The following is a 15,036-nucleotide window of genomic DNA, read 5'->3' as shown; positions in this document are numbered from 1 at the left end:
TAGAGGCTGCAGTGAGATGAGACTGTGCCACTTCAGCCTGGGTGACAGAGTGAGACTCCATCTCAAAAACAAACAAAAAGAAAGAAAGAAGGAAGGAAAGAGGGAAGGAAGGAAAGAAGGAAGGAAGGAAGGAAGGAAGGAGGGAGAAAAAAATCATAAATCTAAATGTAAGAGCTAAAACTGTAGAACTCTTAGAAGAAAACATGAATAAATCTTCATGATTTTGGATTAGGCAATATTTTCTGATATGCTGTAAATTCCACTTCGTTATGGTATATAATCCTTTTTATATGTTTTTCTTTACTAAATACTCCTTGGGTTTTGGCAAACTTTTGATTAACTTCCAGAGTTCTGAAAAATTGGTTTTGACAATATTTGTCATTGCTTTATGGAGAAGTGGATTTTTGGGGCAGCATGACTCTACACAGTGGTGTAAGAGCTCCTTGGAGGTGACAGAGCTGTTCTGTATCCTGGTGGCAGTGGTGGTTCCAAGAATCTCCACACAGGATCCAGTGGCATAGAACTAGATGTGTTCACACACACACGCAAGGACGAAGGTTTTAAAAAAGGCTGAAAACCGAATAAGGTCTGCAGTAAAGTTGTCTGCATTGTACTCTACAGTTAGATAAGATGTCATGATTGGGGAGGTTGAAGGGCAATGGGGACTCTGAGTACTACAGCTGCGGCTCCCTGCAGGTACCTAGACATTTCAAAACAAAGACACTGAATGGTTGGACAAGCATACATACTGGACAGGTTACAGGAGGAACTATGAAGATTCACAAATTCTTGCGGTGGGGGGGACACACACATGCATACTGAACAAACATGCATGTAACATACAGTGCATGTTCACTTTGGGGTTGAGACTTAACATTTAAATGTGCTACAGTTAGGCTCTAGATATCAAAAGGTGAAGCAGGGACATGATGGTGTGGAAGTGCACAGCCTCTGTAAACTGGCCAGAACCAGTTCGTAGTCGTGGTCTCTCATCAGGAGAAAGCTCCTGAAGTCAGTGTCCCATCCATTGAACGCTGCAGTCATGGCTGGTGGAGCAGGAGGTCGGAGAGTCAGCCTCTGTGAGCTGGATGAACTGCAATTGTCTTAATGTTGCTTAGCTCAAGGCCAGTGCTTGATTGGCTGCTGGAAAAAAAGAAAACCCTTGTAGCACAGCCAGAACACAGTTTATTCTTTAAGTGTAGGGTTGTGTGACTTAACTCCTTGCCTGGCAGGGTCTTAGGTTTTGTTTACAATTTGGCACCTTCTGCCACAAAAAGTTTGTTCTGTCAGTCTATGGTCTCTGTTTTAACAGACCACAGGGACAAATCCGTCTTCAAGGTCCTCATCTTGACAATGGCCACGTCATCTCCAGAGTCTTCCAGAGAGTTTGGTGCAAGCCACCTGCTTTTGTCTGTAATCTTTGAAGACCTGGTGCAATCTCCCGTGGTGTGGTGTCTACCTGGATTCAGCAAAATTCGCCCAGCTGGACCTGCAGCAGATGCCACGTGTTGGGCGTCTTCCACATGATCAGCAGGCACACGGCAAGAAAGCTGCCTACACGGACCCCACACGGTGTTAGGACAGATGCCTTGTGATCTCTATGTCTCGTGTGACCCTCTATCACACAAACTGGCTTTAATCTCAGAATCTGGGGTCAGGGAGAGTCACACAGCCTTCACGTTAGAAGTGAATGGGATCCACAGAGCCTACTGCCAGAAACGGAAGACACCCTGCTGTCCAGGTGCACAGCTGCCCAGCAAGGCCCCACTCAGAGGCACGAAGCTCCTGTGGCATCTTAGATGCCTCCCAAGCTTCAAAGCGGGACAGGCCTAGAGCATCACGCATGGCTCCACTGAAGCCAGAGCTCCCAGGACCCAGGTCCCTCTGAGGGATGGCCCAGAGAGAAAGCAACGCAGCCACATGGCCCTGGTCCCACTACAGTGATCACAGAGGTCCAAAAGGGGCATTTCTCTTCTCTTTGTGTCTTCATGTTCCATCTAGTGAATATGTCATCCTCATTCCTTTGGATTTTGTTAGCGATTACAAGAATCCAGTTGCGTTGGGTCACATAAATTGCTAAGGAATCTGGATCACGGTCACCTTCTGGATCTGTTGGGTGCTGTAGTCTGGCTGTTCCCCTTATGCCACTGGCCAGGTAATTAGACTCAAATATGTGGGTGAATTTACTGCCTCCCTTCTGCCTCCTGCTTTTTTTTTTTTTTTTTTTTTTTTTTGAGACAGGGTCTTGTTCTGTCACCCGGGCTGGAGTGCAGTGGTGTGATCACATCTCACTGCATCCTCCCACTCCCAGGTTCAAGCCATCCTCCCACCTCACCTCCCAAAGCAATGTGACTACAGGAATGGGCCACTATACCCGGCCCACATTTACCCTTTTAATTGATTTGTTTTCTACTGCCTTTTTGAATCACATACTTTGAAATGCATACATTCTTTGGGTACAGTTTAATGATATTCTACAAATTTACTCACGCCTGTGTTTATCTCCCCAGCAAAGACACAGAATGTTTTCATCTCCTTGGAAATTTCCTACAGTCATCTGTGATTTTGTGCCTACCCCTACCCTCACAGGGACATCTGCTTCTTTCTTGTGGGTGGGTGAGGAGGCTTCTGTGTAAACTTACCTGGGCAGGTGAGCATTCAGGAGCAAAGCGGCCCCAGTCCTGTAGCAGGGCCATTGCCCCACAGACCCTGCCATTATCCAGGCCAGCTGGAGCTGCAGGTGGTCCCTGAGCCATCACCGCACCCACCTTCCTCCTGTGTCCTCTTTCCCTCGAGGCTCTCACAGCCCCCACCTGTGTGGAAGAGTGGAGTGGGGTCAGTGGTCCTGGGGCCCCCAGGCCACAGCAGCTACTTGGGCTGCCCAGGGCTTCCTGTCTGTGGATGGAGGATGCTGGAGAAGTGAGGCTGTGGTCCTGGCACCACCCCTGCTGTGTCTGGAGCCACCTGACCCATCCTGGGTGTCTGCTGGCCACTCACCATATGCCACCCCATTTTCAGCTGGGCAGAAAGAAGCTTGTAAGGCCATCACAGACAGAGAAACTGAGGCAGAGGAGAGGCTGGTCTGAGCTGGGACAGCCTGAAGCCCGGATGCTCGACAGAGCCAAGGGGGAATGGGGGCTGCAGCAGGCCAGGCCTCGAGGTGGGGTGAGAAGGTACATTCCCAACCCCAGGAGGGTGAGGTGGGGGCAGCTGCATGCTGGAGGGTTTCATGGTCCCTTTGGAGGAAGGATTATGGGAGGTGCTCCTGGATCTCTCTTGGGATGATGGGGTTTGCTACAGAGACAGCCTGGGCTAGGCCCCCTGGTCACTGAGCACAGTTCCAGACTTTTTGAGTTAGGTGCACCTGACACCTCCACCCAGCCCCTTACATAGAACATGCTTCGTCAGGCCTACCACCAGCCCATACCACCAGCCACCCCTGGGGTCGTCCAAGCACTCCTCAGGGACCCACCTCCTCCTGCTCTGCAGCCCATCAGGGCTCCCCGTTGACAGATGAGGCTGGAGAGGGCTGTGTCCAGGAGGGGATGGGACTGTGGGTGGGGCCGGCAGTAGGCCCAAGGGGAGTTTGGGCAGCTGCTGTGAGTAACCAGCCCACCATGCGCCATGCAGGGCACATTGCAGGTACATGGCAGGGGGTTCCAGAGAGGGCCTGGGGGTGCAGGGAGTTCTAGAGTGGGCCTGGGGGTTAGCAGGGAGTTCTAGATCAGGCCCTGTGGGTGACAGTGGCTTCTGTTTGGAAGGACTTTGAGAGAGGAATGGGAATGTTGAGGGGTTTGTCCACCCAACTCTGCAGTCCCGTGGCAACTGTGCCCTGTATGTGAGACCACTGATAAACCCCTGCATTGGATGGGTGGATGGTGTATGGATAGGATGTGAGGGGCTTTGGTATTTGACCTCTAGGCCAGAATACCTGTCCCTGAGCTGTGCAGGCTCCGAGAGCCCAGAATGTCTTACCAGTCACTGGCCTCCCTCAGGATGGGCTAGAAGCTCTAAAGGCCACACAGTGCCCACAGTCCAAATCCCAGCAGAGCTGAGTCCCCGTGTCCAGCTGAGATACGATCCCTGGGAAGCAGCTCTGCTCCTACACCAGGGGCCCTGCTGAGGCGCTGGAGCTCATGTTCCTGTGTGCAAGGAGCTCCCAGAGTGTCCCCAGGTCCCAGGCCACCAAGGCCCCCCCTCAGACCAGAGCCCCAGGTCTGCTCTGCACCAGAGGCCAGGAAGGGGTAGGGGAGCTCCTGAGGAAGGAGGGGGTTGGGGGAGCTCCCGAGGGAAGGAGGGGGTTGGGGGAGCTCCCGTGGGAATGAGGGAGTGGGGGGAGCTCCCGTGGGAAGGAGGGGGTGGTGGAGGGAGCTCCCGTGGGAATGAGGGAGTGGGGGGAGCTCCCGTGGGAAGGATGGGGTGGTGGAGGGAGCTCCCGAGGGAAGGAAGGAGGTTGGGGGAGCTCCCATGGGAAGGAGGGGGTGGGGGCAGCTCCCGTGGGAAGGAGGGGGTTGGGGGAGCTCCCGTGGGAAGGAGTGGGTGGGGGGAGCTCCCGTGGGAAGAAGGGGGTGGTGGAGGGAGCTCACGAGGGAAGGAGGAGGTTGGGGGAGCTCCCGTGGGAAGGAGGGGGTTGGGGGAGCTCCCCTGGAAGGAGGGTGTTGGGGGGAGCTCCCGTGGGAAGGAGAGGGTGGGGGGAGCTCCCGTGGGAAGGAGGGGGTTGGGGGAGCTCCTGTGGGAACGAGGGGGTGGTGGAGGGAGCTCCTGAGGGAAGGAGGAACTAGTGTGGGGAGCTCCTGAGGGAAGGAGGGGGTGGGGGGCACCTCCTGAGGGAAGCCGGGGGTGGTGGGGGGAGCTCCTGAGGGAAGGCGGGGCTGGGGGGGCGGCTCCTGTGGGAAGGAGGGGTTGGGGGCACCTCCTGAGGGAAAGAGGAGTTCAGGAGGTCGTGGGAGGACACCTGCCGGGGCCCTGGCGAGGCTGCGGTGCCTGTGCTGCCCGCTGGCTTGGAAGGCAGCCTGGTCTATCGAGAAGGGACCTGCCCTGGGGCCCAGCCCCGCCTGTGTGTTGCTGCCCCTCCCCACAGCTGGGCCTGTCCCAAGGTGTCTTCCTCCAACCCTCTTTGCCCCTCATAGGAGAACAGCAGTGTGAGGCGCGGTGTGAGGCTGCTGGGTGGCCTGGAGGATCCCTGCCTAGAGAAGCCCCTGGGGTCTGGAGCGCAGGTGTCTGAGCACACTGCTTCCTTTGGCGCTGGGCCCTGCAGCTCCTGCCCCAATGCCTGACCTTCCCAGCTACCCTCTGTGTCCTGCCAGGGACCCTCCTGCCAGGGCCACACCACCCCTCAGCCCTGAGCCAGCCACAGTGCCCCTCTCACCCTCTGTGATCCCCCAGTCCAGGGCCCAGCCTCTCTGTAAGTCTCAGCCAAAGTGGAACTGATCTCTGTCTCCTCCCCAGCACCCAGTGGGCCCACCCACCTCGGCTCCCTGACTGGAGGCCAGCCTGACTTCCAGCTCCTGCAGAGCCGTGGCCGCCCACGGCATTGGTCCTGTGCCCAAGCTGGTGTGGTGGAATTTGGCCCAGCAGCCCAGACATGGCTAGATCCTCCCTCTGCAATGGCTGGGGTGCCGGGGGGCTCCCAGTATGAAATTCCCTTCGCCACAGCTGTCATGTTCCTGGGACGGCCCTCTGGAGCTGGCCTGAGGAGCATCCCAGTGGGCGATGCCCCTGCCCCCTGCTGCCAAGAGGCACAGAACCAGCTCTGATGGCACTGGGTGCTGGGGAAGCTGGGGCAGCCAGCTTCTCTCAGGGCAGGGCCCTGTGTGGCTGGACAGGGGTGTGCTGCAGCTCCACACCCCAGGCCTCAGTTTCTCCCACCGTAAGAGCTTCCTGGGGATTTCCTGGGAGCCAGGAGGGAGTGCAGGGCCCTGCTCTCCCCGCAGGCACATCCCCCACTGCCCCAGCCAGCACAGCTGGTCCTGATTAGAGTAGGGCCCAGCTCCCCTCCTGAAATGAGCAAGTCAGGCAGGGGAGGAAACCTGATCCCAGTCCCTCATCCCACATTCCAGCCCAGCAGCCGCAGGCAGCATGGCTCCTGACTTCTCTTGGCCCCAGAGGGCTGGGGGGACTCCTGGGAAGTGCGGCTGGGATGTGGCTTCCAGCAGGAGACCTGTTTGGAGAGAGGTCTCCTCCCATGGCCTGGCTTCCCAGGGATGCTGGCTTTTGGCTCAGGCCTCCTCGGAAGGCATGAGGGCTGCCTGTCTTCCTCCCAGGGCCAAGTACTGGCTGATCCCAGCACAGTAGGCTCCGAGCTCTGGGGCATTTGAGAAGATAGCCCCTCAGGCCACCTCCCATCCCCTAGCACCACAGGGCCTGCCAAGCAAAATGGAAGGGCAGAAGTCCCCAGGACCCTGGGGCAGCCCAGCCCTGACTTGAGCGGCCCCAGCTTTGCTCTCCCAATCCCTCTTCCGTGCAGCTGGCTGGAGGCTGGGCTGCCCTGGCCCAGCATCGGGAGAGCAGTGGGTGGCACACTCGGTCACTTGTGCAGGAGGTCATGCTGGAGTGACCAGGACTTCCCAGGACCCTTTGAGGGGCCCAGGCCCTGATTCCCAGCCTCCTTGGAAGAGGCTCCTGCTGGTGTGGGATCTACCTTGGGAAGTTTATGGGACCCTGCACCCCCGTGAGCACAGGCCCCTGGGGCAGGGAGACAGCCCCATGCAGGGGGATCACCCACATCAGGCTGTGCCTCTGTCTCCAGCAGAGCATTTGCCATGGGTTGGGGTGAGCTGTGCCTGCCAGAGATGCCACAGAGGCCCTTGACCCCTGCGAGGCCTGGCACAGCCCTGAGGTGGAGGGCTTCGGCTCCCAGACCCATGCTCTGGAGCAGAGGCCCCTGGAGCACCTATGATCGGCTAAGGCCCTGGCTTAGGAGCCTGTGGTCAACCCCTGGGGCCTGTGTGTCCCTGAGTTGCCTCCAGCTGGGGCAGCAACCCAGGATCCCCTCCCCAGGCTAGGTTTCTGTGGCCTGAGGTTGGCTGGGCAGCTTGAAGGCTCTGGGCTTCCCCAGACACAGCCAGCAGACACCCAGCCTCAGCTGCGGGGTCCGTGTGGCTCTCAGCATTCACAGTGGGAGAGGTCGAGGACACAGCCCTGAGAGTCTCCAGAGCCCCGCTCAGACCCTCGGCCCTGCCCCTCCACCAGATGCTGGACACTCACGCACAAGGGCCTGAGCAGCAGCAGCTCCCTCTGCTGGGCCGCTGACATCCCCACTGCACAGATGGGGAAATGGAGGCCTGTGGAGGGAGAGACATGCCAAAGAGCACGTGGTGCCCCAGCCTGGACAGGCCTCTGGGCCACGAAGCCTTCCTCTGTCCTGACACAGGGAGGAGATTGGACACGGTGTGTGTTGGGGGGTTTCCAAATGCGAACCCTGCCCCTCCTCAAAGTACCCGCTGTGATCCCCACATCACATTTGGCCCCGAGAGGACAGCCTCTGACAGCCCAGACACTGAAGATTACAAAGCATGGAGATCTGGGGCACTGGAGCCTGGCTGCAGGGTAGGCACCACAGGACCTCTGAGGCCTCTGGAGGGAGCCTGCTTGGGCCAGGGCCTCTCCTGGACTGCTCACAAATGAGATCCCAGGGCCCCTGCAGGGGGGTTCTGTGCTTCACCTGAGGAAGCAGCCTGACCTTCTGGTAACTCCATATTTACTTTCTGAGATGTTCTGTGCATCACGGTGCTCCGTGCACATGCTGTGTGTGTGTGTGTTTCCCCGTGTGTCTGTGTGTGCTTCCCCGTGTGTCTGTGTGTGCATCCCATGTGCCTGAGACGGTCTCTCAGCATCTGCCTGCTGCTGTGCGTCTGTGTCTATGTGTTTGTGGATTTCAAACTTACTTTTGGCAATGAATCAAATGAAATCAGTATTTTGAATTATGCATTTTTATGTATGTCAAGCAGAATACTTCTAAAGGCAGTAAGGATAACAAGACTGTTTTGATACATACAAAAATGCAAAATCTGGGACTCTGAATGGCCGTGTGGTCTCAGCTACAACATATTGTGTTTTGTCCAATAAATTCAATGGTTTTTTAAAAAGCTTGACTTCTACAGCAAAGCACATTTTAATTAAACTGACCCAGAAGTCAAGAGAAGGAAAACATTTGCTGCAAAGCTCAATCATAGCTGCTTGTGTTTGTAATTATAAATAATGCAAGTCAGCAAGATGCATCCAAACTTACAAGAACCTTAAAACATCCCTAATACGTGAAGACATTTAGTTCAAACATAGGGTTAGGGTCCTGGTCAGGGTGTGAGTTGGGGGGTCAGGGTCAAGGTTAGGGTTAGCAGTAGGATCAGAATTATGGTCAGGACTAGAGTCAGTGTCATAGTTAGGTTCAGAGTTAGGGTTAGGATCAAGGTCATAAGGTCATAAGGTCAGGGTTAGGGTTGGGGCGGTGGTTAGGGTTATGGTCAGCGTCAGCATCAGGGTATCAGTATCATAAGGTCAGGTTCTGGGTTAGGGTTAGAGCCTGGGTTAGAGTTAGGGTCAAGTTCATGGTCAGTGTTAGTGTTACGATCAGGTTTAGGGCTAGACTTAGGGTCAGGGTCAGGGTCTTGGTCACAGTGTCACAGTGAGAGTCAGCGATACAGTGAGGGTTAGGGTCAGGGTTCATGTCAGGATCACTGGTAGGGTCAGTATTAAAGTCAGTGTTAGGGTCAGGGTTAGTGTCAGGGTTATTGGTAGGGTCAGTGTTAGGTAGAGGATCAGGGTTAGTGTTAGGGTCACAGGATGAATGTTATGGAGCTCCTAGACACTGGGACAGGTTATGAAGAACACTGGGCTGAGGTGATCTGCATCTCCTGCAAATCTCATTGCAGCCATGGGTGTCTGGGACCCCACCCACCCAGCATGCCTTGGCAGAAGACCCTGCCTTGACCTCAGAGAAGCCCTCTGAGAACAGCTCTTTGTAGAAAGCAGTGCCTGGATTAAACCTGCTTCTCCCAGGAAGCATCACCTATCTAGGTTCATGCTGTGAGGCACAGAAACACAGATCTATCCACCCTTGGCTTTGGCCCCAGGCATCTCAGAGGCCAGAGCCGTGCTCCACAGCCGCCTGTCTACCCAGTTTCATTGTCTGCCTTCTCTTCCAAACAGTGAGCACTCCCTGATTTCTATTCAATGCTGGTAGACCTGTTCTATCTCAAGCGTAAGAATACATGTCTTGGCTGGGCACGGTGGCTCATGCCTGTAATCCCAACACTCTGGGAGGCTGAGGTGGGTGGATCACCTGAGGTCAGGAGTTCAAGACCAGCCTAGCCAACATGGTGAAACCCAGTCTCTACTAAAAATACAAAAATTAGCCATGTGTGGTGGCGGGTGTCTGTAATCCCAGCTATTTGGGAGGCTGAGGCAGGAGAATCACTTGAACCTGGGAGGTGGAGGTTGCAGTGAGCCGAGATCATGTCATTGCACTCCAGCCTGGGCAACAGAGTGAGATTCCATCTCAAAACAAACAAACAAACAAACAACACATGCCTTGGATAAAGGGATTGGCCCGTCAATTATGGTGGGCCATTATTACGGAATCATTATTCCATGATTCCATATTTGTGGCTTTATTTTTCTCCTCCTCTGTTCGATTTTCTTAAACTTTTAAAAACTTGTTTGGCCTCTTTCAGAGAAGACCTGGAAAGGCAAAAATTGAGTTAAGGACGCCTTCCTTGGGCAGAGATGGTTTTGCCCAGTGGGGCTACTCAGGGGTTGACCACTCGAGGTCCTGAGTGGGGTCAAGCCATCTGTTTTGGTTTCTAAGAGGGAACCTTGCTGCAGTGCTCCTAGAGTGGAAGAACTTTGTGGGGCCTGCTGGGCAGGTGGCCTTGGGCAGCCTGAGCTCCCTTAGAGGGTCTCTGCTTCCTGTCTGTCACAAGATCAGGCTTAAACCAAGGGCCTCTGCTTCTCATCAACTGGGTTCCTAATCCACCTGGCTCTGTGCTCTGTGCAGGCATTGGCTGCTCAGGAAGGAGGTGAGCTGGGCTTTGAAAAAAATGAGAGCCACAGTGGGGGGCAACCCTGGCCAGAGCCTCCTGTGGCAGCCACAGAAAACACCATGCACTTCACAGGGATGTTCTGACCCACGAGGCATGGCGGACCCGGATGGTGCCTCCACACAGGGCCTGTCCAGCAGTCCGCAGTGAGGCCACTGAGGGTCTCCTGCCCCTAAGAGGGGAGCCAGGAGAAGCAGGGGCCCAGCCTGTGAGAGCTATGGCCACCAGATGGCCAGCCTGGGCCTGAAGCCAGATAGCCGCTTACATTGTCATCCCTCCCAGCCCTCAGCTGCTCAAGGAGGCACCCAGGCCTGGCTAGTGCCATGCCCAGAGCCCAACCCAAAGTCCTGGCATGGGGTCTGAAGGGCAGTGGCCAGGAACTGACCAGCTCATGCCCACCTGGACAAGCAGGAGACAGCCTGGAGGGGCCGGGGCTCAGGGCTGTGACTGCAGGAGCCAGCACCTGAGGTCAGGCAGATGTGGGTGTGAAGCCCACTTCTCTGCATCTGCCGGGGCCTGAAGACGGGCATTGGGTGTCAGAGTCTTCGCGATGAATTAGGGAGAGTGCCCAGACCCCCCATCAGGAGGAGCAGGACAGAAGACCGGGCCTCAGACATGTAGCACCCCCAGAAGGCTGCAGGAGGGCAAAGGGCAACTGGGGCGGGTAGGCCTGCAGGGTCCGGGAGGCAGGAGGGGAGTCTGAGCAGGGGCCACTCCCTGGCTCGTTTGAGGAGCGCCAGGGGAAGGTGGGCTGCCCTGAAGTCACTGGGGTGGTGAGCTGCGAGCTGATTCTCTGTCGACCACGTGGATCCCAGATGCAACCAGGGCTCCTTCCCGGTCAGGTTTGGGAAGCTCGGTCCTGGTCTGCTCAGGGCTGCCTGGTTCAGCACTGAAGCCCCACAGGCAGCGAAATCCCTCCTGCCATGGGAAGACGCCGGTGTTTGGGGAGGAATGTGCCAGACTGGAAGAAATGTGAAAAATCCAGAATGGTCCCCAAATGGGGGCTTGAAAGCAACAGAGTTCTTAGTGTCCAGTGGATACGGCCCCGCCCCCACAGACAAGCAAACCCGAGCGCACACACACCACGCAGTGCACACACTTACACTCACACACCTGAGTGTACACACACCACGCAGTGCACACACACCCGACCACACACGACTCACCTTCCCTAGGCAGGGTCCCTCCATTCCCTCCGGGACGCCCCACCTGCCCCAAGCCACCTTTGGAGCGGCGGGGAGGACGCCCGCTCTGATAGAGCTCCCGGGCGGACTCCTGCAAAGCCCTAGGTCCCCGGCGCTGGGCAGGCTGCGGAAGTCTCGCCGGCCCGGGACTCCGCGGCGGGGGCGAAGGACGTGGGTCCCTTGGTCTTTCCTCCCCCACCCTGACACTCCAAGGCAACGCAGCATCCCTTCCGCTCCTCCGCCGCCCGGGCTCCTGCCCTCCACTCGCGCCCTCGCGGGGCTCCGGCAGCCGGAGGGGCTCCTGCGCTACCTGGAGGAGCCCGCATCTCCCCTCCTCTGCCTTCTCCGCTGGACGCCCTGCTCCCGCCCCCGGGCCCGACACTCCTTCCGCGCCGATCGCCCCGCCCAGATCCCAACGCGGGTGTCTACAGACCCCAGTCCCAGGCCGACCACTTCGCCCGGACACGCCCTCTGTCCCCACCCCACGCCTTCTGCGCCCACCCACGGCCCGCCCACTTCGTCCCAGCCCCACTATCACGCCCGCACCTAGGACCTAACCATCGCTTCCCACGCCCTCCGCCCGCCCCTACCCACCCAGGACCCCGCCCACCCTGCCACCCATACCATGGCCCCGCCCTTCTCCCCACCCACTCCCTCCCCTCCCATCCCACGCCTTCTGCGTCCACCCAAGGCCCGCCCCTGTGTCGTGCTCACCCCTAGGCCGTGCCCTACGCATACCCCAGCTCACGCTCACCGTCACGGCCCACCCAGGCCGCGCCCTAACCCCGCCCCCGCCTGGCCACACCCACAGCCCCTCCCTCGCCCGCGGCGAACTGCTAGCTCTGCCCTGGCTAGTCCCGGCGCCTGCACCTGCGGGGCACGCTCCTCTCGAGCGCGCTCAGGAACTAGCCGGGAGGCGCCTCCTCAGAGCGCGTCTGGAACCTAGTCCACGCAGCGTAGCCCTCGGAGCTGTTGTCCCAACAGGCCCGGTCTCTACCGGTCTCCAAATGTAAGCTCTGGAGGGATCGCTTCCAAATCTAGGTCAAGACCTTGGTTTTGGAAGCGTCTCCTTTGAAATCACGGAAAGTCTATGCCGACAGGCTTTCTTCTGAAAATGCTGAGCCATAGGTTCACTGGGGCTGCGCGCTCGCCGGGAAGGCCGCTGAGCGTGTGCTTTCGGTGAAGCCCGGCTCTGTCGCGGACACTCTGGGCCTTGGATCGGAATCCGGCGGCCTCAGGACCGCGCTTCTGCTGGGCTCGCCCTGCCTGTCCCGGCCCGGCTCTGCGGGGCCCCCCTCCTCCCTCCTGCGCTCTGATTCCTTCCCACTCATGCTGCAAAATGGAAAGAAAGCAAAGGAGACCGGTATCGTGGGTGCCAGACAGTGAATCGCTCCGGCCACACCGAGACCCCTACCTTCTCCGGCTCCCAGAGACTCTGTGGAGGTCGGGCACCCTGGCTTTTCTGGGGACACGCCAGTATCAGCGTCTCTCTGTGCCTATTAACAGCGCCCACCTCTCCGCAGCTGCAAAGCTGCAGTGTCTTGCTCTGTCTACTGCATTTCAGTCAGAGGCACCGCGGCCTGCCAGGCTGGCCCTGCCCCACACCCTGGTTCCCTCAGACTAGCTGTGCCCTGCGCCCTCCTGAGACACCACACACACCCACCTCTGGCCCTGGTCCCCTGCTCGGAGTCACAGTGAAGGCTCCCAGTTCTCCCCACCAGTGGCCTTACCTCTTCCTGATACCACTGGGGACCACGTTCTCCCTCCTCCGCAGGGAGGCCGGTGTGTCCGTTCCTTCCTCCCGGGACTCCGAGTCGCCTCCGTCCAGGGCGGCCTTGCCTCCTTTCCAGGGGGTGAGTGTGGCACTATCTCAGGGCCGCGCTCTGGAGCCTCCCAGAGTGGTGGGTGCGGAAGGGTGGCCTTGGCCCCGAGCCTCCGGCCATGCAGCATGCACAACCGACCCAACTCCCCCAGCGCCAGAGGGCCGGGGAACCCTGAGTGTGCGGAGCAAGCCGCTGAAGGCCGGGACCCTGGTCCCGCCGCCTCTCCCGCGGTCTCCTCCCTGGGACTGAGGTGCCCATCAAGCGTTCCGTATTCGTGACCAGTGGGCAAACTATGACGTCCCCTCTCGGGCTGGCCGGCAGCAGTGCCCCGTGTACTGGACAGGACTCCTGACCTCACTGCTGTAAATACTCCACCGATAGAAACCACTGAATTAAAACATGTGGAGCAAATTCTAACATCTCCATGTCGGAGGCTTGTATCCAGCTGGCCTTTTTCACAGCAAGTCAACAGAGCAGAAGCAGCCCTTCTTTTCCTGGGGCTTGCAGTTGCTGTGGGCCGCCACACCTCCCTGGCCCATCCTGGCTTTCCGGGCTGGCTGCCACCCTGCAGCCGCCATGCCCGGGAACTTGTAGCAGCCAGAGGGGCCTATGACAGGTGCCACGTGCTTCTCAGCAGCAAGGTCTCTCCACAGTGCGCTGCGTGCCTTCCACCTCCCTCAAAGACATCAAGGGAGGGGAAAGGAGGGGATGTCTCCCAGGCTCACCACCTCTGTGGGACGTCTGAACACAAGTGACCATCAGGAGAGGCATCAGTACATCTCCATCAGCCCCTGAGCTGAGGGAGGAGGGCAGCAGTGGCGGGTGGTGACATGTGCTGTGAGTGGGACAAGAAATTGCAGAGAGGTGGCAATGCCTACTCACTGGGACCTGCGTGCGGGGTTGGGGTGAGGTTCCCAGTGGGTGGGACACTGTGTCTTCAGAACTGTGCGTGGGATGTGTGGACATCCCCACGTTATTGATTCAGAGACAGACATTCAGAGACGGGAAGTACTTTCCTGAGGCCTGGCACACAGTACATGGAGGGATGAAGCATCCACCCCGACCAGGTAAGCGAGAAGGGAGGGCTGGCCCATGGACTTCTGGATGGAGGAAACGCTGGGCGGTGGATCCCAAGATGCCTGAGACTCCTGGCCCTGGTGCACTGCAGCTTCTCTCAACCCCTCAGTCAAACACTAATTAAGGGCTGGAAAGGATTCTGCAGGTGTCATTAAGGCCCAATGATAGGGGTTGGCTGTGTCCCCGCCCAAATCTCATTTTGAATTGTAATCTCCGTAATCCCAGGTCGCTGGGAGGGACCTGGTGGCAAGTGACTGGATCATGGGGACAGTTTCTCCTATGCTGTTCTTGTGATAGTGAGTTCTTATGAGATCTGATGGTTTTATAAGCATCTGGAAATTCCCCTGCTTGCACTCACTCACTTCTTCCTGCCGCCCTGTGAAGGTGCCTACTTCTGCTTTGCCTTCCGCTATGATTGTAAGTTTCTTGAGGCCTCCCCGGCCATGCAGAACAGAGTCAATTAAACCTTTTTTTTTTTTTTTAATAAATTACCTAGTCTCAGGTATTTCTTAGACCAGGTGCGGTGGCTCATGCCTGTAATCCTAGCACTTTGGGAGGCCGAGGCGAGCAGATCACGAGGTCAGGAGTTCGAGACCAGCCTGATCAACATGGTGAAACCCTGTCTTCCAAAGTGGCTGCACCATTTTGCATTTCCACCAGCAATGGATGCGAGTTCCTGTTGCTCCATGTCCTCCCCAGCAACTGGTGGTGTTAGTGTTTTGGATTCTGCCCATTCTAGCAGGTGTGTAGTTGTACCTCCTTGTTTTAATTTGCAGTTCCCTAATGGCATGCGATGTGAAACATCTCTTCAGATGCTTATTTGCCATCTGTATATCTTTTGGTGAGGTGTTTGTTATGGTCTTTGGGTACCACTTTTACTTGGGTTTTAATTTTTGCTGAGTTTTAAGAGTTCAG

The 15,036-nt window shown here is 57.3% G+C and overlaps 1 long non-coding RNA gene across 6 annotated transcripts, besides 6 other annotated features; it reads right to left on the bottom strand.

Annotated features, from left to right (window-relative positions):
- Nucleotides 3,969–4,169: a silencer, noted in NCBI's record as "peak748 fragment used in MPRA reporter construct". NCBI's record gives its function as "represses an SCP1 promoter by STARR-seq MPRAs in K562 erythroleukemia cells {active_cell/tissue: K562}" and the evidence as "EXISTENCE:reporter gene assay evidence [ECO:0000049][PMID:32103011]".
- Nucleotides 5,584–6,247: an enhancer, noted in NCBI's record as "H3K4me1 hESC enhancer chr1:227981557-227982220 (GRCh37/hg19 assembly coordinates)". NCBI's record gives its function as "activates a minimal SCP1, AML or CMV promoter by ChIP-STARR-seq in primed H9 embryonic stem cells {active_cell/tissue: H9 hESC(primed)}" and the evidence as "EXISTENCE:reporter gene assay evidence [ECO:0000049][PMID:30033119]".
- Nucleotides 5,812–5,980: a silencer, noted in NCBI's record as "fragment chr1:227981824-227981992 (GRCh37/hg19 assembly coordinates)". NCBI's record gives its function as "represses an EF-1alpha promoter that drives an FKBP-Casp9 reporter gene in an ReSE screen in HepG2 liver carcinoma cells {active_cell/tissue: HepG2}" and the evidence as "EXISTENCE:reporter gene assay evidence [ECO:0000049][PMID:32094911]".
- Nucleotides 6,912–7,575: an enhancer, noted in NCBI's record as "H3K4me1 hESC enhancer chr1:227980229-227980892 (GRCh37/hg19 assembly coordinates)". NCBI's record gives its function as "activates a minimal SCP1, AML or CMV promoter by ChIP-STARR-seq in naive H9 embryonic stem cells {active_cell/tissue: H9 hESC(naive)}" and the evidence as "EXISTENCE:reporter gene assay evidence [ECO:0000049][PMID:30033119]".
- Nucleotides 7,916–13,291, bottom strand: LOC105373289 (uncharacterized). Of its 6 annotated transcripts, none has more exons than NR_168380.1 (2): nt 12,952–13,291; nt 7,916–10,998 (listed from the first exon to the last, which is right to left on the bottom strand). It is a non-coding gene; the product is annotated as an uncharacterized LOC105373289 (long non-coding RNA). The 6 variants fall into 6 exon arrangements; NR_168381.1 differs by having other exon boundaries at nt 7,916–10,955; NR_168382.1 differs by lacking the exon at nt 12,952–13,291 and adding an exon at nt 12,636–12,712.
- Nucleotides 11,525–11,874: a silencer, noted in NCBI's record as "silent region_1902". NCBI's record gives its function as "represses an Ori minimal core promoter by ATAC-STARR-seq in GM12878 lymphoblastoid cells {active_cell/tissue: GM12878}" and the evidence as "EXISTENCE:reporter gene assay evidence [ECO:0000049][PMID:35858748]".
- Nucleotides 11,905–12,124: a silencer, noted in NCBI's record as "silent region_1901". NCBI's record gives its function as "represses an Ori minimal core promoter by ATAC-STARR-seq in GM12878 lymphoblastoid cells {active_cell/tissue: GM12878}" and the evidence as "EXISTENCE:reporter gene assay evidence [ECO:0000049][PMID:35858748]".
- Nucleotides 13,292–15,036: the final 1,745 nt, after the last annotated feature.

This window comes from Homo sapiens, chromosome 1 (genome assembly GCF_000001405.40).
Source record: "Homo sapiens chromosome 1, GRCh38.p14 Primary Assembly".
Lineage (NCBI taxonomy): Eukaryota > Metazoa > Chordata > Mammalia > Primates > Hominidae > Homo > Homo sapiens.
Note: the sequence above shows the minus strand (reverse complement) of the source record. Positions and strands in the feature narration are given on the sequence as shown.